Here is a 22,707-nt window from a genome sequence, read left to right on the forward strand (position 1 = left end):
AGTTGGGCCTCCTCCTGAGGTTGATCTAAGGGTTCTCAAAAAAATAGCTTGTTCATGTGTGGTTCTGCCTGCAGCACTGTTTGGAGTTTGATTGCTTCTAGGTGAAAAGAGATAAATTTTACAAGAAGGTTTAAAATATAGGGTTAGAATATATGAGTATTAAGAGTATCACTGTTAATGGGGATCCTATAGGCCATAACAGAGTTTGATACCTGTTACACCAATGGATTGCAATATTGGTTTGCCTCCATTAGGTGTCGCTGTGCATTACCAGAAACATTAACATAAAAGTAACATTTTTCTTAAGAAAAGCATACATTTCCCCCTTGACTTGTCATTAGAGAATAACTTCCACAATGTGGAATTCTGGTTGTAAAATTCTAATTGCTGTAATATTTTGCCTAATTATTATCCGTATCCTGCACATCCTGCACATATACCTCGGAACTTAAAAAAAATTATTAAAAAAACCCATCACAACAATATTTAAAAATATGAGAAGTAGTAAATAGAGGTTCAAATGGTGTAAGATCCTTGCATTTTCAGGGAAGTATAATGTAATTACATATGTTAGATTCTAATAAATAAAGACTACATGTTGTAATTTCTAGCATACCCATGAAAACTAAACTTATGATCTAAAACAGAAAAAATAATAATATAAAATGATCCAGCAATTAATAAAAGAAGGGATAAAAATCGGTTAAATAGAAAACAAATAGTTACACGGCATGTTGAAATCCAAATATTCTAGTGATTACATTAAATATAAGTGGTTTAAATGCTCTAACCAAAGCACAAAGATTTTCAGACTACATAAACAAAATCTAAATAAATGCTGCATATGAGAAATAAACCTTGGCTGAGCACAGTGGCTCACGCCTGTAATCCTAGCACTTTGGGAGGCTGACGCAGGCAAATTGCTTGAGCTCAGGAGTTCGAAACCAGCCTGCACAAAATGGTGAAACCCTGCCTCTAGTAAAAAAAAAATACAATATTTAGCCGGGTGTGGTGGCACACACCTGTAGTCCCAGCTGCTTGGGGGGCTGAGGCAGGAGGATCACTTGAACCCAGGAGGTTGAATCTGCAGTGAGCTGAGATAGTGCCACCACACTGCAGCCTGGGTGATAAGGTGAGACCCTGTCTCAAAACAAAACAAAAACAAAAAACAAAAAAAAATTGGAGAATCAAATAGACACATTTGAAGAATCAAATAGACGAAAAAAAAATGATAAAGGGATGTCACCACCAATCCCACAGAAATACAAACTACCATCAGAGAATACTATAAACACCTCTAAGCAAATAAACTAGTAAATCTAGAAGAAATGGATAAATTACTGGACGCATACACCCTCCCAAGACTAAACCAGGAAGAAGTTGAATCTCTGAATAGACCAATGACAGGCTCTGAAATTGAGGCAATAATTAATAGCCTACCAACCAAAAAAAGTACAGGACCAGATGGATTCACAGCCAAATTCTACCAGAGGGACAAGGAGGAGCTGGTACCATTCCTTCTGAAACTATTCCAATCGATAGAAAAAGAGGGAATCCTCCCTAACTCATTTTATGAGGCCAGCATCATCCTGATACCAAAGCCTGGCAGAGACACAACAAAAAAAGAGAATTTTAGACCAATATTCCTGATGAACATTGATGCAAAATTCCTTAATAAAATACTGGCAAACCAAATCCAGCAGCACATCAAAAAGCTTATCCACCATGATCAAGTGGGCTTCATCCCTGGGATGCAAGGCTGGTTCAACATATGCAAATCAATCAACGTAATCCAGCATATAAACAGAACCAAAGACAAAAACCACATGATTTTCTCAATAGATGTAGAAAAGGCCTTTGACAAAATTCAACAGCCCTTCATGCTAAAAACTCTCAATAAATTAGGTATTGATGGGATGTATCTCAGAATAATAAGAGCTATTTATGACAAACCCACAGCCAATATCATACTGAATGGGCAAAACCTGGAAGCATTCCACTTGAAAACTGGCACAAGACAGGGATGCCCTCTCTCACCACTCCTATTCAATGTAGTGTTGGAAGTTCTGGCCAGGGCAATCAGGCAGGAGAAAGAAATAAAGGGCATTCAATTAGGAAAAGAGGATGTCACACTGTCCCAGTTTGCAGACGACGTTATTGTATATTTAGAAAACCCCATTGTGTCAGCCCAAAATCTCCTTAAGCTGATAAGCAACTTCAGCAAAGTCTCAGGATACAAAATCAATGTGCAAAAATCACAAGCATTCTTATACACCAATAACAGACAAACAGAGAGCAAATCATGAGTGAACTCCCATTCACAATTGCTTCAAAGAGAATAAAATACCTAGGAATCCAACTTACAAGGGATGTGAAGGACCTCTTAAAGGGGAACTATAAACCACTGCTCAATGAAATAAGAGGACACAAACAAATGGAAGAATATTCCATGCTCATGGGTAGGAAGAATCAATATCGTGAAAATGGCCATACTGCCCAAGGTAATTTATAGATTCAATGCCATCCCCATCAAGCTACCAATGACTTTCTTCACAGAATTGGAAAAAACTACTTTAAAGTTCATATAGAGCCAAAAAAGAGCCCTCATTGCCAAGTCAATCGTAAGCCAAAAGAACAAAGCTGGAAGCATCACGCTACCTGACTTCAAACTATACTACAAGGCTACAGTAACCAAAACAGCATGGTACTGGTACCAAAACAGAGATATAGACCAATGGAACAGAACAGAGCCCTCAGAAATAATACCACACATGTACACCCATCTGATATTTGACAAACCTGACAAAAAAATAAATGGGGAAAGGATTCCCTATTTAATAAATGGTGCTGGGAAAACTGGCTAGCCATATGTATAAAGCTGAAACTGGATCCCTTCCTTACACCTTATACAAAAATTAATTCAAGATGGATTAAAGACTTAAATGTTAGACATAAAACCATAAAAACCCTAGAAGAAAACCTAGGCAATACCATTCAGGACATAGGCACGGGCAAGGACTTCATGTCTAAAACACCAAAAGCAATGGCAACAAAAGCCAAAATTGACAAATGGGATCTTATTAAACTAAAGAGCTTCTGCACAGCAAAAGAAACTACCATCAGAGTGAACAGACAACCTACAGAATGGGAGAAAATTTTTGCAATCTCCTCATCTGACAAAGGGCTAATATCCAGAATCTACAATGAACTCAAACAAATTTACCAGAAAAAAACAAACAGCCCCATCAAACAGTGGGTGAAGGATATGAACAGACACTTCTCAAAAGAAGACATTTATGCAGCCAACAGACACATGAAAAAATGCTCATCATCACTGGCCATCAGAGAAATGCAAATCAAAACCACAATGAGATACCATCTCACACCAGTTAGAATGGCAATCATTAAAAAGTCAGGAAACAACAGGTGCTGGAGAGGATGTGGAGAAATAGGAACACTTTTACACTGTTGTTGGGACTGCAAACTAGTTCATCCATTGTGGAAGACAGTGTGGCGATTCCTCAAGGATCTAGAACTAGAAATACCATTTGACCCAGCCATCCCATTACTGGGTATATACCCAAAGGATTATAAATCATGCTGCTGTAAAGATATATGCACACGTGTGTTTACTGTGGCACTTTTCACAGTAGCAAAGACTTGGAACCAAGCCAAATGTTCAACAATGATAGACTGGATTAAGAAAATGTGGCACGTCTACACCATGGAATACTATGCAGCCATAAAAAAGGATGAGTTCATGTCCTTTGTAGTGACATGGATGAAGCTGGAAGCCATCATTCTCAGCAAACTATCACAAGGACAAAAAACCAGACACCACATGGTCTCACTCATAGGTGGGAATTGAACAATGAGAACACTTGGACACAGGAAGGGGAACATCACACACTGGGGCCTGTTGTGGGGTGGGGGGAGGGGTGTGGGATAGCATTAGGAGATATACCTAACGTAAATGACAAGTTAATGGGTGCAACACATCAATATGGCACATGTATACATATGTAACCTGCACGTTGTGCACATGTATCCTAGAACTTAAAGTATAATAATAAAAAAAAGGAAAAGAAAAAGAAAAAAATACATAAACCGCAAATATAAGGGCACAGAAATGGAAATAAAAGAGTATGGAATAATATACTATCAAAATACTAACCAATGGAAAGCAGAGGTTATCATACTAGTATCAGATAGAGTAGATCTTAAGACTAGAAGCATTATTAGAGAAAAAGAGGCCAATTTTATCAAGATAAAATGATAAATCAGAAATATATTCCAATTGTAAATGGCTATTGTCATAGGTAGACCTATGGTCCCTCAAAGTTATCTATGTCCTAAGTCCCCAAAAACCCATGCAAAAGGAATCCTCAGTGGTGTGCTGTGTTGTTTGATGAACTGTGCATAGTAGGCAGTACCCACTCATGTTCAGTACTTGCTCAGATGTCCTGCTCTGTCTTCCTACAGAAATGTACTTCCTTTCACTTTTACTTTTCTTCACATCTGAAGCTGCTCCATAAGAAATGAAGCAAAATAGACAGATGTTTTGCTTATTGTATTAGTTCTAACTCCAAACATTAAAATGCAGCTATATATAGTCAATAATATAATACCCTCTACATAGCATTTATGTAGCACATTCATTTAAGAGGTACAAATTAGCATTTCTGAATGATGACCATGCCATATGTCCATAGTAGAAGCAGCCATAACCAGAGTCAATGTCTCAGACAATGAGATGTCTCATAGTGGACTCTGGCCATGTAAATCCCAGGACTAACCTGTGAACTGATGAAGTTCTTGGTTAAATTTAGAAAAGATTTGGCCTTGAGAGCTGAATTTGAAAACCAGGTCGTTGTGATGTAGAAAATTGTTCATGCGCTGGTTGGAGATTTTGCTAAGGTTGAACACTGCTTTCAGGTATGAGTCCAGGGTACTGGAATAGGGAAGATGGAACAACATGTTAGTGGGTGACACAGTTATTGGCAAACAATTACCTTCCTTTTACCACTGACCTGTCCAACTGGATGCTGCCCTGGTGGCTGAAGGCACACTTCATGATGCTGTCCAGGGTCATCAGGGAGACATGTTGAAAGAGCTCCAGACGTGAGTTTTGGGCAATGTGTTCCTCCCATTTGTTCTGGGGCAGGGGATGAATATCATGATCATACACATGCCCATCTTTTCCCAATTTCTAAGTTATTTTATGTCCCTTTTAGAGTTTGCTGGGGTTTGAAAATATAAAGTGTACAAAATGAATTTGCCTTATTATGACAACCATATAAAATAAAACACCTTGTCAGTACTGAAAATGATACTGTGCCTTAGATGCTATTTGTGACTTTGTAAGGGTGGGGAAATAGCTATTTTTCCCTCTTTTTCAAGTTTCATTAGTACAATTTATATGACTTTTATCATGGAAAAACTAAGCTGACAAAACATGGAATAAAAAATAAATAAGAATTCAAAAACATCTGTAGAGAGCATAAATAAACAGAGGTTTTTGATTCTAGGAAAAGATCCCTAAAAATATTTAGTACTTGACAAGTTTTTTCCCAGATCCATTGAGAATTTAGAAAGGAATTAGAGATAGTTCTTGTTCTCAAAGAGTTTGCAGTTAAGAGTCAAGACAGAAAACCCTCAACTATATATTAGAATTCAGATGTATTTACCCCCTTGGACATACCTGCCAATATCCCAGAAAATTTCACTTTGTCAAAAGCCAAATGTTTATTGAGACGAAGTTCTCCATTTCAATATAAATATTTATACACTGTTAAGCTGTTATTAACTCTGTAATGTGAATTAATTAATTAATTCAATTTGAAAGCTTTTTTCCAAACATGTTACTAAAATCAGATGTTCTGAAAGATTGCAACTGTCATGGAGCCAAGAAGAGTAGAGAAAGAGCATGAGGTAGGTGATAATGGGGGTGGTGTCTGTTTGGATGTGGGTAAGGGCATTGCAAGGAGAGGCAGTGGTTGGAGCAGGCTGAAGGGGGCATCATCAGGAAGGAGCCTTAGACTCGAAGAGAGGTGCATCAGTTCAGGGTGTGCTCTTCCAACTCAAGGAGGCTTGAGTTTGAACTCAACTCTTCCCCTAATCTGCCTTATGATCATGTATTTTTAGTAGAGATGGGGTTTGGCCATGTTGGCCAGGCTGGTCTTGAACTCCTGGGCTCAAGCCATCCGCCCACCTTGGCCTCCCAAAGTGCTGGGATTACAGGCATGAGCCACTGCACCTGGCCTGCCTTGTGACTTTAAACAAACTGCTTAATCTCTGCATCTCAATATCCTTACTAGCAAAATGGAGATAATACAGCAAAATTGTAAGACTGTAGTAGTATAAAAGGATATAATAAGCTTGATGCATAGTAAGTGCTTAAAAAGTATTTGCAGTCGCTATATTTATATGTTTTGCTTTGATTTTTATTTTGGAATGGGACATGGGCATGGTGACGAGGGTCATAAAGGATAACAACATGGCACACTGGAAAATATGGGGCCAGTATGAATCCAAGCTGACGTGTTCAGGGGAACCCATGTCTCTGAGCCCCTGTATCATTAAGAAGTCTTTGTGACTAGGATTGAGATCCTGTGTATAGAATTGCTTTACTCCATGCCTGGGATCTTAGAAACTTAGTCTTTGAGTTGTCGCAATCACCTCATTCAGGACCCCTGAAACAGACCTTAGGTGTGCTCAAAACCACCTCGCATGTCTTTGCCATCCAAACTCCAAGAGGACAGGTGTGGATACATACAACTGTGTCTTCTCTATGGGTTCTAGATTGTCTTGTGACATCTCTGCACCCTCTTCTGCCTCAGCCAAAGCTAAAGCTCCCTTTTCTCCTTGACCACAAGGCCATCTTTTCTCTGAGTCCCCATCTCTAGAAATCCTCCCCATTCTCCAAGACTCAGCTCGTGTCACCTTTCTTAGGAAGTCTTTCCTGACTCGACCTCCTGAACATGATACATTTCTCTATGTTGGCATGGCTACTCCTGTGGGTGTCTTTGCTCTTCTGCCTTGTGTTCTCCAAATGTAGTGAGTCTACTGGACTCACTCACTCATTCATTCAGCTACTTCTCATTGAGCACCTACCCTGAGTCCATCCCTGTGAGAAGTGTTGGGTATACAAGACAGGGTCCTTGCCCTGATGATGATGGTCATGGTCTAAACATCAAATAACCCCATATAAACTGCTGTGATCATGGTTCTGAGGGAACACAGAGTCTCCCACACCATACGGCTGGCAGCACCTCACTTCAGAGGCCAGGTACGAATGCTCTCTTCTCCTCTTACCAGCATCATCCGAACACTCTTAGACATCATGGTGATGAATATTTTCAGAATGCTGATGTTGAAGCCAGGTTTCACAATCTGGCGGTGCTTTTTCCATTTAGAACCATCCAGGGTCACAAGTCCTCGACCTTATGAAATGAGAGGGGCAACTGTTTCTATCACAGGCCAGGTAAGTGAAGAAAGACTAGGTAGGCAGCGAGCAATTCCCTATCTATGACACTGGAGAAAAGCTAGAGTGGACAGAGCTTTGAAAGAGTGAATGAGCAGGAGTAGACCTAACCCTTTGGGAATTAAGTCCAAATCAGAAAATTTGTTTATACAATGAACTCAAAAAAAGGTCCATCCTATCCTATTTGATGGTCAGATTCATCAGCCTCTTGATAAGAGTTCAAATTTAGGGTGGGTGAGAATTGCCCGAGGTGCTTGCTAGAGGCAGATTCCTTAGCTTAATCCTTCAGAGCCAATAATTCCTAGATGTTGAAGTAGAATCAAGGACTTTTGAGTTATGACAAGGGTCCCAGCTAGTTCAGGTCCACACTTTGAGAAATACTGCCTTAGACTGGCACAAAGTTCCAGACTGAAGCAGAGGTGCTGCTTTCTTTCCATCACTTTTGTGCTTCTCTTCAGGCTGAGGATCAATGATGGAGGACTAAAGGGGCTTTTCTTTATCATTCCTGCTGGACAAGTGGGTTTGAGGTCTCCACTGAGTTCATAAAAGACTTAGTTTATGAGAGTGGATTCTTTCAAAGGGATCCTCAAGAGCAAGATTTTCCAGGGGCAATTAGATTGTGGAAAACTGATAATGAAATTTGTGGTGAATAATATTTTAAATTCTCTGTAAGGTGGGAAATCTAAGGAGAGGGAGAGAAGGTGCCCATGCACGTTTGATCCAGGGATCTGGGGCTACTACCCAGATCCTGAATCTTCTGGTGTGAACTTGCTTAGCTGCACAGGCAGGTTGCCCAGAAAAGGGAGGGGAAGTGTGGAGGGAAAAGGAGAGAGAATGATCTTAAGCAACTTTCACAATGGCAACCTCTTCCAGGGCACCATTCTCAGTAAGGTCCATGTTAGCAGGCTGAGGGACTCTCCTTCTCTTTCCATGATCCTCAAGTGGGGACTACCTGGGATAGTGACATCAGTTGGTGTGAGGAGGAGAGCATACAACCCCCCGGGCCCCTTCTTATTCCTCCACCCCTACCCCTAGTTACACCAGAAATAAAGGACCAGTCCCAAACAGGTAGAATAAGAGGAGAAGCTATGAAAGACAAGGCAAGATTGAGCTCAGGTTTCTGAAGCAAAAGCGAGTGTAGGTTGTGGTAAGGTGAGGGAGACAGGAGCATTTCGTGTCTATCAGGAAAGTAATTTCTCCCCCGACCTCCACCTCCACCAGGCTCAGATGAGAAAGGATCAGACACACATACTGATATGGTTTGGCTCTGTGCCTCCACCTGAATCTTATGTCAAATTGTAATCCTCAGTGTTGGAGGAGAGGCCTGGTGGAAGGTGACTGAGTCATGGGGGTGGATTTTCCCCTTACTGTTCTTGTGATAGAATTCTCCCTAGATCTGCTTGTTTAAAAATGTGTAACACTCCACCCCTACTCCTGGTGGCCACGTGAAGGTGTGCCTGCTTTTCCTTTTCCTTCCACCACAACTGTAAGTTTCCTGCAGCCTCCCAAGAAGCAGAACCCTGTACAGCCAATAGAACCATGAGTTGGTTAAACCTCTTTTCATTATAAGTTACCCAGTCTCAGGTATGTCTTTATAGCAGAATGAGAATGGACTAATACACATACCAACCCAGGATTCAAGGATTTTGTGGCTAACAGCACTTTTGGGATCTGTAAAACAGAACAAAGGAGGCAAAAGATGGCATTAAGTGAAAATCACGAGTTAAAATGAGAGGAAATTTTTGTATGTTTCCATATTCCTTGTGGGTAACACAAATAGCTAGTGTGCAAGGTGGTTGGAGGCTAGTTCTTCAGTACCGAGAGTCCCAGGGAAGCCACAGAATTAGAATGAGAACTTGTTTATTCTTTCTCCACAGCACTTGGTGCTACGAGGTCAATAGCAGTGGAAAACAGAGCATAATTTCCTTTGTATAATTTTCAGAGTATAATTTTCTTTCAACATAAGTTGAAAAAATACATTTGTTTTTGTTGGGGAACTCTGACAACATTTTAAAGCTCCAGTTCCTTTTCACATAGACATGTACAGCTAGACACAGGAACATGACTTTGAGATAAATTGTAGATTTTACCCTTGTTGGATTTGTTTGAGAAAGATGTATATAAATGAATCAGAAGAAAAGATAAGGGACATAACCTAGGTTTTACAGTTTTGGGAAAACAAGAATTAGTGTCCTTTATTCATTCCATCAACATCTTTATGTGGGATAAAGACAGGGAAATAAAAATGGGGGAGAAAACATATGAACATCTAGGAAAAGAGAGGATTGTTAACATGAGATTCACTTTCTGCAGAAGTCCAGGTGAAATGAACCTATAAAATACCTTGAGTTCTGAGGGTAAGAAGATATCTTATGGCATTCACTCTCTCAGTCCCTAGTGTATTCTCTCTCTCTCTCTCTCTCCCTCTGTCCATAGACTTCAATATAAAACCACTGCCCTCTAGACATTTCCCTTTGTGTACCACACAGACACCTCAGGACCCCAGCAAATCCAAACCTGATCTATCCCTTCACTACCAGATAGCCTCCTCTTCCTCTATCCACTTAAAGGCACAAGTGTATTCCCTATTTTCCCTACCAAAAGTTGGGACTCCTTCTTAACTAATTCCACTTTCTCATCCTCCTAATCTACTTGTTGGAAGATAATTCTGGCATTTCTTCAGAAATGGGTAAAAGAGATTGATAGAATTGTTAAGGATGTTTCCAAAACTATTTTGGAAAGAATGTATGTATGTCTACATTTAAGCCTAATAAGCGTGAGCCTTTCTACTCTAGACATTCCAGGGTCCTAAAAAATAATGTCTAAGAGTGACATCAGCAAAAATGGTGGATTAGGAACTGTCCAGGGCCATCCCTTCCCAAAGCAAAAACAAAAATTATCTGGCAAAAACTGTTATAGTCAACTTTAGCAGATTTCTGGAAGACAGTTAATTGTTTACAGCAACCAGGTGCACACTTAATCAGAAGAAAGGCCACTGAAAAAGGATAGAAAAGATTGGTGGCATTGCAATTTAGCTTTGCCCCACATCCCTCTCCAGTACCATGGCAATCTTGAAGATGGCAGCCTGCATTCTCAGTGGGTTCTGATTCCTGGATCCTAGAGAAAGCAGAGTGGTCCTTGTTCTCAAGGAATTTTGTTTGTTTTGACTTCTGTGTGGGTTTTCTGAAGGAGAGGGGCTTTCCTATGTTTTACCTAACTCAGAATTCTCTCAGGGCAGGGAAGTGTTCCTCAAAAACATTGAGAGGCAAAAGAACTAGCACTGATTCCTGGGACAAAAAAGAACAATTGAGGCAATAATAAACACACCAAAATCTAGAAGGAAAAGCTGGGAATGAGAATTTTGTTTTGGAATCAATGCTTTAAAAAGTTCTCACATATAACAGGGAACCTACACATACCCAGGGTAGGATGCATGGTTGGAAAAGACCTGATAAGACCACAGGCTTTCAACTTTGACTAGTCCTTACACAAAGTGCAAGAAGAAAGAGAAAGCTAAGGCAAACTTGTAAATGCCCTGATTAAATATTAGAGGTGTGCCCCAACCCAGAACCAACCAGGAAAGACCTGGAGAGTATTTTTATTTTCTTTCCTACCTTTTTTTCTTTTATTCCTTTTTTTCTTACATAACATTTAAAATGTTCAGTTTTAAACAAAAAAATTACAAATCATGTAAAAGAAACAAGGAAGTATGGCCTATGCACAGGAAAAAGAAATGAAAAGAAAATGTTATTGAGGAAGCATAGACGTTGGACTTACTAGACAACTTTAAATCAACTGTCTTCAATATGCTCAAAGACCTACAATAAACCATGGCCAAAGATGAAACAAAACCAAAATACTCATGTATGAACAAATAGAGAATATTAACAAAGACATATAAGTTGTAAACAGAAACAAATAAAGTTCTAGAACTGGAGTATACAGTAACTGAAATAAAAAGTTCCTAAGGTTTCAACAGTTGATTTGAGCAGGCAGAGAAAAAATTATCAAAGTTGGAGTTAGGTCAATTGAGATTCTTGAATCTGAGGAGCAGAAATAGGAAACAGAATGAAAAAATGAATGGTCCTAAGAGACCTGTGAGACACCATCAAGCATACTAACATATGCATAATTGGAGTCCCAGAAGAGCAAAGAGAGAAAACTAAGTTGAAGAAATAATGGTTAAAAATTTCCAATAGGTTTAAGGTATTAATTTTAATCCCATGTTAATCACTATGAAAATAACTGAAAATATACAGAAAAGGAAATGAGAAGAGTAACATAAAAATGTTACCATACCAAAAACCAAAAATCAATTAAACACCAAAGTAGGCAGTAATGGAGGAAGTGAGGAACATAAAATATATATGACAGGCTGAGCACAGTGGGTCACACCTGTAGTCTCAGCACTTTGGGAGACTGAGGGGGAAGCATTGTTCGAAGCCAGGAGTTTGAGACCAGCCTGGACAACATAGTGAGACCCTTGTCTATACAAAAGAAAAAATTAGCCAGGCATAGTGGTGCAGGCCTATAGTTACAACTGCTCAGGAGGCTGAAGTGGGAGGATTACTTGGGCCCAGGAGCTAGAGGATGCAGTGAGCTATGATGACACCACTGGACCCTACCCTAGGTGACAGAGCAAGACCCTGTCTCTAAAAAAAAAAAAAAAAAAGACATATAAAAAACAAACAGTGAAATGTTAGAAATAAGTCCTTCCTTATCAGTAATTATTTTAAATGTAAATGGATTAAACTTCAATTAAAAGGCAGAGACTGGCAGAATGGACTAAAAAAATGGGATCCATTAATATGCTGCTTACAAGAGACTCACTTTAGATCTGAAGAAACAAAGAGGTTAAAAGTAAAAGGGTAGAAAAGGTATTCTATGCAAACAGTAAGGAAAAGAGAGCTGGGTGATTATCAGTTAACTATACTTTAAAATATTGTGACACAAAGAAAGACATTATATATTGTTAAGGGGTCAATCCATCAAGAAGATATAACAGTTATAATATATAAATATATACCTAACAATAGAACCCCACAGTATATGAGGCAAAAGCTGACAGCTTTGAAGGGAGAAATAGACAGTTCTAAAATTATAATTGGAGAATTCACTACATCCCTTTCAATAATGGACAGAACAATGATACAAAAAATTAATAAGGAAATAGAGAACTTGAACAACACTATAATTATGCCAAACAGACATGTTCTAAAAGCTCCACCTAACAACAGCAGATTACATGTTCTTCTCAAGTACACATGGGTCATTCTTTAGCATAGATCATATGGTAAGTCACAAAAAGAGTCTCAATAAATTTAAAAAGATTGAAATCATACAAAAATACCTCTCCATAGAATAAAACTAGAAATCAATATCAGAAGTAAAACGGGAAAATTCACAAAACATGAATATTAAACAAGACATTCTTAAACAACCAAAGGGACAAGGAATAAATCATAAAAGACATTAGAAAATATTTTGAGGCAAATGAAAATGAAAACAACTTACCCAATGTTATGGGATTCAGCAAAAGCAGTGCTTAATGAGATTTTTATAGCTTAAATGTCTTCATTAAAAAATAAATTCCTTAAATCAATAACCTAACTGTACACTTTAATGAACTGGAAAAAGAAGGGCAAATGAAACCCAAAGCTACTGAAGGAAGGAAATGATAAAGATTAGAGCTGAGGTAAATAAAATAAAAACAGGAAAAACAATAGAAAAAAATTAACAAACAAAAAGTTATTTCTTTGAGAAGATTAACAAAATTGACAAAACTTTAATTAGATGAACTATGAAGAAAAGTGAGAAGAATCAAGTTACTACAATCAGAAGTGAAAGTGGGAACGTTACTATCAACTTATTATTACAGATAATAAAAGGATTATAAGAGGACACTATGGACTACTCCCTTGGACTCCGTGGTGGTCTGTTAGTGGGAGATCCTTGTTGCTGTCCCTTCACCTCCTTCAGCCTTGCAGAACCTTACAGGTCCCTGTCATAGGTGAGTGCATCTCCATGTTGGCTAGGCTGATGTCCAGATTGGCAGTTCCTGCTAGGATCTCTACTGCCTGGAACATGGCCTCTAGCCTGATGGCAAGGCCAAGAGACAAGACTAGTGTGGGAGGAAATAACTCCTTCAATACCTTCTTCAGTGAGACAGGTGCTGCCAACCATGTGACTAGGTCAGTATTTGTAGATGTTGAACCCAGGGTCATTGACAAAGTTCACACTGGCACCTACTTCCAGCTCTTCCACCCTGGGCAGCTCATCACAAGCAAGGAAGATGCTGCCTATAACTATACTTGAGGGCACTTTTGCATAGGAAAGGGGATTATATTGACCTCATCTTGGACTGAATTTGCAAGCTGGTTGACTAGTGCACAGGTCTTCAGAACTTCTTGGTTTTTTACTGCTTTGGTGAGGGGACTTGTTCTGGGTTCACTTCTCTGCTGGTGGAATGTTCTTTCTGTTGATTATGGCAAGAAGTCCAAGTTGGAGTTCTCCGCATACCCAACCCCCCATATTTCCACAGCTATAGTTGTATAGCTCTATCTTCATCTCCCATACCACCCTGTAGCACTCTGATTGTGCCTTCATGGTAGACAATGAGGCCATCTATGACATCTGTGGAGAAACCTCAATATTGAATGCCCAACCTATACTAGCCTTAACTGCCTTATTAGCCAGATTGTGTCCTCCATCATTGCTTCCCTCAGATTTGATGGAGCCCTGAAAGTTAATCTGACAGAAGTCTAGACCAAAATGGTGCCCTGTCTCTGCATCCACTTCCCTCTGGCCACATATTCCCCCACCATCTCTGCTGAGAAAGCCTATCACGAACAGCTTGTTGTAGCAGAGATCACCAGTGCTTGCTTTTAGCCAGCCAACCAGATAGTGAAATGTGACTCTTGCCATGGTAAATACATGGCTTGCTGCCTGTTGTACCATGGGGACATGGTCCCCAAAGATGTCAATGCTGCCATCACCACCATCAAGACCAAGCCTACCATCCAGTTTGTGGATTGGCATCCCATTGGCTTTAAGGTTGGTATTAATTACCAGCCCCCCAGTGAGGTACCTGGTGGAGACCTGGTCAAGGTATAGAGACCTGTGTACATGCTGAGCAACACCACAGCAGTTGCTGAGGCCTGGGCTTGCCTGGACCACAAGTTTGACCTGATGTATGATAAGCCTGCCAAAGCTGGAGAACTCATACACCTTGATTTGAAACTTACTGCAAAGCTATAGTCACCAAAACAATGTGGTACTGCCATTAAGTGTAGATATCAGAGTCCAAAAATAAACCCATACATCTGTTGTCAATTCATTTTCAACAAGGATGCAAATACCATTCAATGGGGAGAATGGTCTCTTCAAGAAATGGTGCTGGGAAAACTAAATACCTGTGGGCACAATAATTAAGTGTACCTTTATCTCACTCTATATACAAAAATTAACTAAAAATGTACCAAAGGGGGAAAAAAAACAATGAAATCACATCATTGCAGCAACATGGATGCAGGTGCAGGACATTATCCTAAGTGAATTAATGTAGGAACAGAAAACCAGATACTTCATGATCTCACTTTTAAGTAGGAGTTAAACATTCAGTACTCATGGACATAAAGATGGCAACAATAGACACTCTGGACTACTGGGGTGGGGGAGGAAGGAAAGGGGGCAAGGATTGAAAAACTAATTGTTGGGTACTGTGCTCAGCACCTGGGTGATGGCATCATTTATACCCCAAACTTCACAGTATCATGCAGTATACCCAGGTAAGAAGCCTGCACATGTACCTCTTAATCTAAAATAAAAGATAAATAAATAAATAAACAAATGCCCCTACTTTAGGCTTCTTTTACCCAAAAAAAGGACTAAAGACCTATGTATAAGAGTCAAAACTATAAAACTCTTAGAAGAAAAAATAGGGGAGGGTCTTCATGAATTTGGACTGGGCAATGGTTTCTTAAAAATGATAGTAAAAGCACAGGCCACAAAAGGAAAAATAAATAAGTTAGATTTCATAAAAATGAAAAGCTTTTGTGTATCAAGGGCCACTAAAAGGGTTAAAAGACAAACCACAAAATAATAGAAAATGTTCGCAGATCATATATCTGATAAAAAAACTTGTGTACTATATATATTTAAAAACTATTACAACTGAACAATAAAAAGACAGCCCAATTAATCACGGGCAAAGGACTTGAATAGACATCTCCAAAGATAAACAATGGGCCAGCAAACAAATAAGATGATATTCAGCATCAATGGGCAAACAATAAGATGATATTCAGTCATTAGGGAAATGCAAATTAAAATAAAATTTGTCTTGGCCTGGTGCGTTGGCTCATGCCTGTAATCTCAGCACTTTGGGAGGCTGAGGCGGGTGGATTACTTGTCAGTAGTTTGAGACCAGCCTGGCCAACATGGTGAAACCCCATCTCTACTAAAAATACAAAATTAGTCAGGTTTGGTAGTGCACGCCTGTAGTCCCAGCTACCTGGGAGACTGAGGCAGGAGAATCACTTGAACCCAGGAGGCACAGGTTGCTTTTAGTGGCCCTTGACACACAAAAGCTTTTCATTTTTATGAAATCAGCATTATGCATAATGGCCAAAAGTTGAAACAATTCAAAGGTCTATTAACAGATGAATGCATAAACAAAATGTGGTATATTCATACAGTAGAATATAATTCATGAAAAGAAACAATGCTACAAAATGTATGAATCTTGAAAACATTATGCTAAGTGAAAAAAGCAAAATGCAAAGGGTCACATATTGTGTGATTCCATTTATATGAAAAATCCAGAATAAGTAAATTCATAGAGACAAAAATGCAGATTAGTAGTTGCCAGTGACTGGGGCAAGGGAGGAATGGGGAATAACTGCTTAAAATGGGTATGAGGTTTCTGTCTGGACTGATGAAAAATTCTGGAACTAGACAGAGATGATAGGTGGATAGCACTGTGAATATACTTAGTGTCCCTGAATTGGATCTTTAAAACGGTTAAATGGCAAACCTTATGTGTATTTTGTCACACACATAAAAGTCAATGCCTATTTCTAGGGGTGAGGAAGAGCATTTTTGGCAATAGCCCCTATATATGGTCAGGATCTTGTCGTGTCTGAATTCCTCAAATGTAACACAGACCCTGGTGTGCACAGTACTAACCTGAGTTCCTCTGCATTGCCCCTATAGGACTTAGGGAGATAGTGGGGCCGATGTTAATGTGAAGCTCATGATACCTATTATGCCATGAGTAATAAACAGTCTAAATCCATTCAGGCCTGCTGGCTTTTTGCTGACTGAATTTATGAATGTGCAGTGAACCAGCTAAGTAGCTTAGGGACTGCTTGACAGCTTGATACCCCCATGTCAAAAATATTGGTACATTCATTAGTATCTCTTGAATTCATACAATTATTTCCACCTCCACCCCTCTACCTTTGTCCAGGCCTCCATCATCTGTCCTTTGGACAGTGCAGCAGGATAAGGTGGATTCCTGGTCTCCAGCCTTGATTCCCTCCAGCCATTCATCATACAGCTGTCTGAGTGATGTTTCAAAACACACAGATATTCACAGTACTTCTCTCCTTTGATGCTCACCATTACTCAGCCTACAAAGTTCTGAATGACTGGGCCCATGTCTACCAGCCTCTTCTCTTGCTTTGTCTCCTTCTCCATATCTGGGACAATTTGGCCATCAAAAAAGATGATGATAATGAAATTCAATACACTGATTTCTTAACAATCCATGAATCCTTACTGGTATGCAGAAAGAGAAACAGAGGGACAGAAAGTGAGACAGTGAGAGAAAGGCAGATGGGGGTGGGGAGAGGAGGAAAGTTCCTCATTATAGATAGGGAAAGCTGAAAAATGGAGAAGAAATAGAAAATCCCTATTTTTTTAACCTCTATTAACTCAGATAAAACTTATGCATAAAAAGTTGTTTGGCTCTGGCTATCTATCTATCTATCTATCTATCATCCATCCATCTATGAGCAAATGCAGACTTTATACCATATAAAAAATTAACACTAAATGAATCAAAGAACTGAATGTGAGAGCTACAACTTAAAACTCTTAGAAGAAAACATAAGGAAAACTTCATGACATAGGAGTTGGCAATAATTTTTTGGATATGATGCCAAAAGCACAGGCAGTGAAAGAAAAAATAGATAAACTGGACTTGATAAAATAAAAAACTTTTGCTCACCAAAGAACACTATCAACAGAGTAAAAAAGACACCAACAGAATGGGAGAAGATATTTACAAATCATATATCTGATAAGGATTAATATCCAGAAGATATAAAGAACTACTGCAACTCAACAACAAAAGAAACCAAAGAACCAATTGAAAAAGGTGCAGCAAACTTGAATAGACATTTCCCCGAAGTTGATATATAAGTGGCCAGTAAGCATATGAAAAGATGTTCAACATAATTAATCATTAGAGAAATGCAAATAAAAACCACCATAAGATACCATTTCACATCCATTAGGATAGCTATTATTAGTATTAGTTTAAATAATACAACATATTTTTTATTATTTTTTTTTCTTGAGACGAAGTCTTGCTCTGTCACCCAGGCTGGAGTGCAGTGGTACTATCTCAGCTCATTGCAACCTCTGCCTCTCAGGTTCAAGCAATTCTCCTCCCTCAGCCTCCCAAGTAGTTGGGACTACAGGCATGTGTCACCACGCCTGGCTAATTTTTGTATTTTTTTTAGTAGAGACGGGGTTTCACCATGTTGGCCAGGCTGGTCTTGAATTCCTGACCTCAAGTAATCTGCCTGACTTGGCCTCCCAAAGTACTAGGATTACAGGCTTGAGCCACTGCATCTGGTCTATTTTTTTTTAAATAGAGATGGGATTTTTTCATGTTGCTCAGGTCTTAAACTCCAGGGCTCAAGTGATCTGCCTGCCTTGGCCTCCCAAAGTGCTGGGATTACAGGTGTGAGCCATTGTAGCTATTATTATTATTTTTTAAATCCCCAGAAAATAACAAATGTTGGTGAGAACGTGAAGAAATTGGAACCCTTGTGCATTGCTGGTGGGTATGTGAAATGGTGCAGCCACTGTGGAAAATGCTATCACAGTTCTTCAAAAAATTATATATAGAATTATCATGTGACTCAGTAATTCCACTTTTTGGTATCAACTTGAAATAATTGAAAGGACCCAAACAGATATTTGTACATGCATGTTCATGACAGCATTATTCACAAAAGCCAACTGATAGAAGTTATCCAAGTGTCCATTGTCAGAGGAATGGATAAACAAAATGTGGTACATACATACAATGGAAATTCAGCCTTAAAAAGAAAGGACGTTTTGATATATACTACAACATGGATGAACCTTGAGGACATTATGCTACATGAAATAAGCCAGTTACAAAAGGACAATATTGTATGGTTCTACTTATGGAGGTACCTAGAATAGGGAAATTTAAAAAGACAGAAAGTAGAATGGTTGTTGCCTGAGGCTGGGGGGAGGGGAAAATGGGGAGTTAGAGTTTAATGTGTACAGAGTTCCAGTTTGGGAAGATGAAAAAGTTCTGAAGATGGATGGCGGTGATAGTTGCACAACAATGTAAATGTATTTAATGCCATTAAACTGTATACTTAAAAGTGATTTAAAATGGTAAATTTTTAGGTTATGTATATTTTACCACAATAAAATGAATGTAATTAAAAGAAAAGCACATATGGGAATATGATATCAATTAATGACACTAGAGAAGGGTACAATGGGTGTTCAAAATTTCTCTTGTAGGGTTGAAAATTTTCAAAATAAAAAGCTGGGGATAAGATGATTTGGGTGGGTCTGGCCAGAAATAATAAGAGCAGGATTCTCAGCTCTCCTTTTTTGGCCACTGTGCTTCTGCAGTGGGACTCAAAAAGAAGTACTAATGTGTGGCAGATAAATAACTTAACATCCCATACTCTGTATATTATTCTGCTCTTTTCTCATGTAACTGTACAGTTATCACACTTCAAGGCATAAAATTATCCTTTTCTCTGAGGAGGAGACAATTTTAGGCACCAGCAGGGAATACAAACCAAAGGAAAAGAAAACAAAACAGTAAGAGAAAAAAAGCAAGAGAGGGAGAGAAATTCTTGGCTTCTCTGGGAAGGAGCTAAGGTTGTGAGTTGAAGACAATGGGGACTGAAGAAAATATGAACAGGAAGGATGGCTTTCCCTGTATGGCCTGCCCAGATGCCCTTACAACCAACCACAAAAAAAGAAAAACAGCCAAAAACTAAGGCTCCCTCCTCAAGGGAGTGAACACACTGAAGAGAGAATTTGTAGATAAAGAAGAGAAAATAACTCCAAAGGAGAAACAATCACTTTCCTCTTTCATCCCTTTTGGGCAAAGGTCCAAAGGTGAGAGCAGAGCATAAAGGGGAGCAGAGTAAAGTTTGAAACTGGATAGCCAGACATTTCTTGCACCATTACCAGGAAGAAAGCTGAGATGGTGATTCTGGCAGAGTGCCCTGTGAAATGAGAGAGCCACAGGCTGCTTGAAATTTTGCAGAAGCACCAAGAGTGGTATGGAGGCATTTTATAACTGAGTAACTCATGTAGGTAGCTGGGAGAGTGAGGCGAAGGCCAGCCTTATATGCCAACAGGCAGTTGAGGAAAGCCCAGTGGGGGAATCCTACACACATCTTGCCACAGCCAAGAAGCAGCTCTGCAATTCCACGGAATTCCGACACTAGGGACCAGATGGAGAACTGGTGTCCACTTGCCAGAGCCTCCACCTGGCACTGGCCATTCCCAGAGGACAGGCATGATTAGTAGGCAAAGCATCTATGGGGAACACTCATCTCTGTGCAGCACTGGCGTTAAGCCAATTGTAAGCAAACCACCACTGCATGCCCAACCCACTGTATGTTCACAGTGGTGGTAAGTGGTAGTCCTGGGGGTCTGAGGTAAGTAAATGTGATGGAAGCATCAGAAAAAATTTGTCATGTAGGGAGAGAAGATTGCTTGGAAATGGATCAGAGAATCCTCTACAACAACCCTCAATAGAGTCCTGACTATGATGTTGAGGAGGACATGGAATCTTCCCTTCAACCTATCAAATGTTGGATTTCCCTTAAAAATGCTTCAACCTGTCCTTCCCTAGTGCCACAGACACCCTGAGACCCTCTTTTTTGCTGCTGTGTACTGTGAGCCCCTCTTGGTTTTTACCTTGTCTTTTCAGGAGAATCTTGACATAGTCTGGGTCATGGATATTGAAGAACATCGTAAAGGGTCCAACCCACAAGGGAACGGCACATGGGTATTTTTCCATCAGCTCAGGATACACCTCAAACTCTTTTACTGGGTAAGACTGTCATAAGATAAGTCATGACTGGTTAGTAAAGGTTGTCATCCCAGGAGGATCCCTTTCCCTCAGATGGACCATGTGCTAAATTGAGGGTCTGTGGACACCACCCCATCAGACAGGTTCACATCTGCTGACGGCAAGTTTTCTTCTCCATGTGACTCCGGCACCTCCACGGAATCTTCCTGGCCCAGGGCAAGTGCTCAGGACCTGTTGCTGAGCGATTGGTCTTCTCACTCCAGCGTCAACTTTGGACATTTAAGTTCAAATCCCAGTTCTGACACTTTTAAATTATCTACGTCATTAGGGCCATGATTTCCTCACAGAAATATATATTAGGAAAACCAAATATATTTCACAAAGCTGCCATGAAAATTAAGTGAGATTATAAACATAAAATTCCTGGCACAAGGTAAACCGTTAGTAACCACTGATTCCCTACCTCATCTTTGCTCTGGATATACCCGCTCATGCTTTATCTGTCTCCAAAGCAGCGAAGTCTCACATGCCTTTTTTTTTTTTTTTTTTTTTTTTGAGGTGGAGTCTTGCTCTGTCTCCCAGGCTGGAGTGCAGTGGTGCTATCTTGGCTCACTGCAAGCTCCACCTCCTGGGTTCACACCATTCTCCTGTCTCAGCCTCCCGAGTAGCTGGGACTACAGGTGCCCGCCACCACACCCGACTAATTTTTTGTATTTTTAGTAGAGACGGGGTTTCACCATGTTAGCCAGGATGGTGTTGATCTCCTGACCTCATGATCTGCCTGTTTCAGCCTCCCAAAGTGCTGGGATTACAGGCGTGAGCCACCATGCCTGGCCTCTCACATGCCTTTTACTCCTTTGTGGTTGCTGCTCATCTTTCAACTTTCCTTTCTAATTTGTCAAATGTTTTCCTATTTCCAGCTTCATTAGAAGCTGTAGCATCTTTGCATATTTCCTGTTAACAATTGGCTTGGTCTATTTCTCTGTAGAACACCCAGAGTCCTGAAAGTAGTAAAGACCTTGGCCTTGAAGCAGGAGACCAGGGTTCAAGTTTCATTTCTGTCATTTATGAGATGGGTAGCACAGGAAAGTTGCATCTCTATTTTAGGCTTCAGTTTTCTTACCTGTAAAATAGGAATAACAATATGTTTCCTCCCCTATCATAGAATTTTTGTAAATATCAAATGAGATTGGTGTGAAAGCATTTTGCATATTACATAATGCCCCACCAATATGTGCTGTTTTTTTTAATACCTCATCTTTCTGTTCCTTAACCTCCCCAACTAATTTTCCCCTCTTACCTCCTTGTGGCCATAGAACCAGTGCGCAGGGGGTGCAGGAAACAGGTGCATGGCTCTGATCGTCCATCTCCTCCTCTGGTACAACCTGATTACCTGAAACAGCAGCAGAGACATGCAGAGGAGGATCAGCAGCAAGAAGGGGTGAGCCATGAGTTCCTGAAGCCAGGAGGGCTCCATTCTTCTCAGAGGTCCTGAGCTCTGGAAAGCCTGAGAGAACTGGGCCAGGGAGAATGCAGGTCTCTCATAAACCCAAAGGAGATGCCCCCTGGGCAACACTGGGCTTTCAAAATACCATATTAAGAGAGGGTACATAAGGAAGAGGAAGCTAATTAAGTCTGCAGGGTGAAAACTGCTGAGATGTTGCCCAGCAGTTCCAGATTCCAGAAGAACTAGATTTTCAGATAGGAGCCATGTGCATGACAGCTCATACCTGTTGCGGGAAGTCAGGGACCCTGAACAGAGGGACTGGCTGGAGCTGAGGCAGAAGAACATAAATTGTGGAGATTTCATGGATATTTATCAGTTCCCAAAATTAATACTTTTATAATTTCTTATGCCTGTCTTTACTGCAGTCTCTGAACATAAATTGTG

The 22,707-nt window shown here is 39.9% G+C and overlaps 2 pseudogenes across 1 annotated transcript in view; one reads left to right on the forward strand and one right to left on the reverse strand.

Moving 5' to 3' along the window:
* Nucleotides 1–22,334, reverse strand: part of CYP4Z2P (cytochrome P450 family 4 subfamily Z member 2, pseudogene) — a 57,381-nt pseudogene extending 35,047 nt beyond the window's left edge. Inside the window, exons 1-6 of the transcript NR_002788.2 lie at nt 22,117–22,334; nt 20,702–20,843; nt 9,110–9,154; nt 7,315–7,442; nt 5,031–5,155; nt 4,797–4,951 (exon numbers count right to left, since the gene is read on the reverse strand). The product of NR_002788.2 is annotated as a cytochrome P450 family 4 subfamily Z member 2, pseudogene (transcript). The remainder of the gene's footprint in view (nt 1–4,796; nt 4,952–5,030; nt 5,156–7,314; nt 7,443–9,109; nt 9,155–20,701; nt 20,844–22,116) is intronic.
* TUBAP8 (tubulin alpha pseudogene 8) lies at nt 13,488–14,689 on the forward strand (annotated as a pseudogene).
* Nucleotides 22,335–22,707: the final 373 nt, after the last annotated feature.

Source organism: Homo sapiens, chromosome 1, assembly GCF_000001405.40.
Source record: "Homo sapiens chromosome 1, GRCh38.p14 Primary Assembly".
Lineage (NCBI taxonomy): Eukaryota > Metazoa > Chordata > Mammalia > Primates > Hominidae > Homo > Homo sapiens.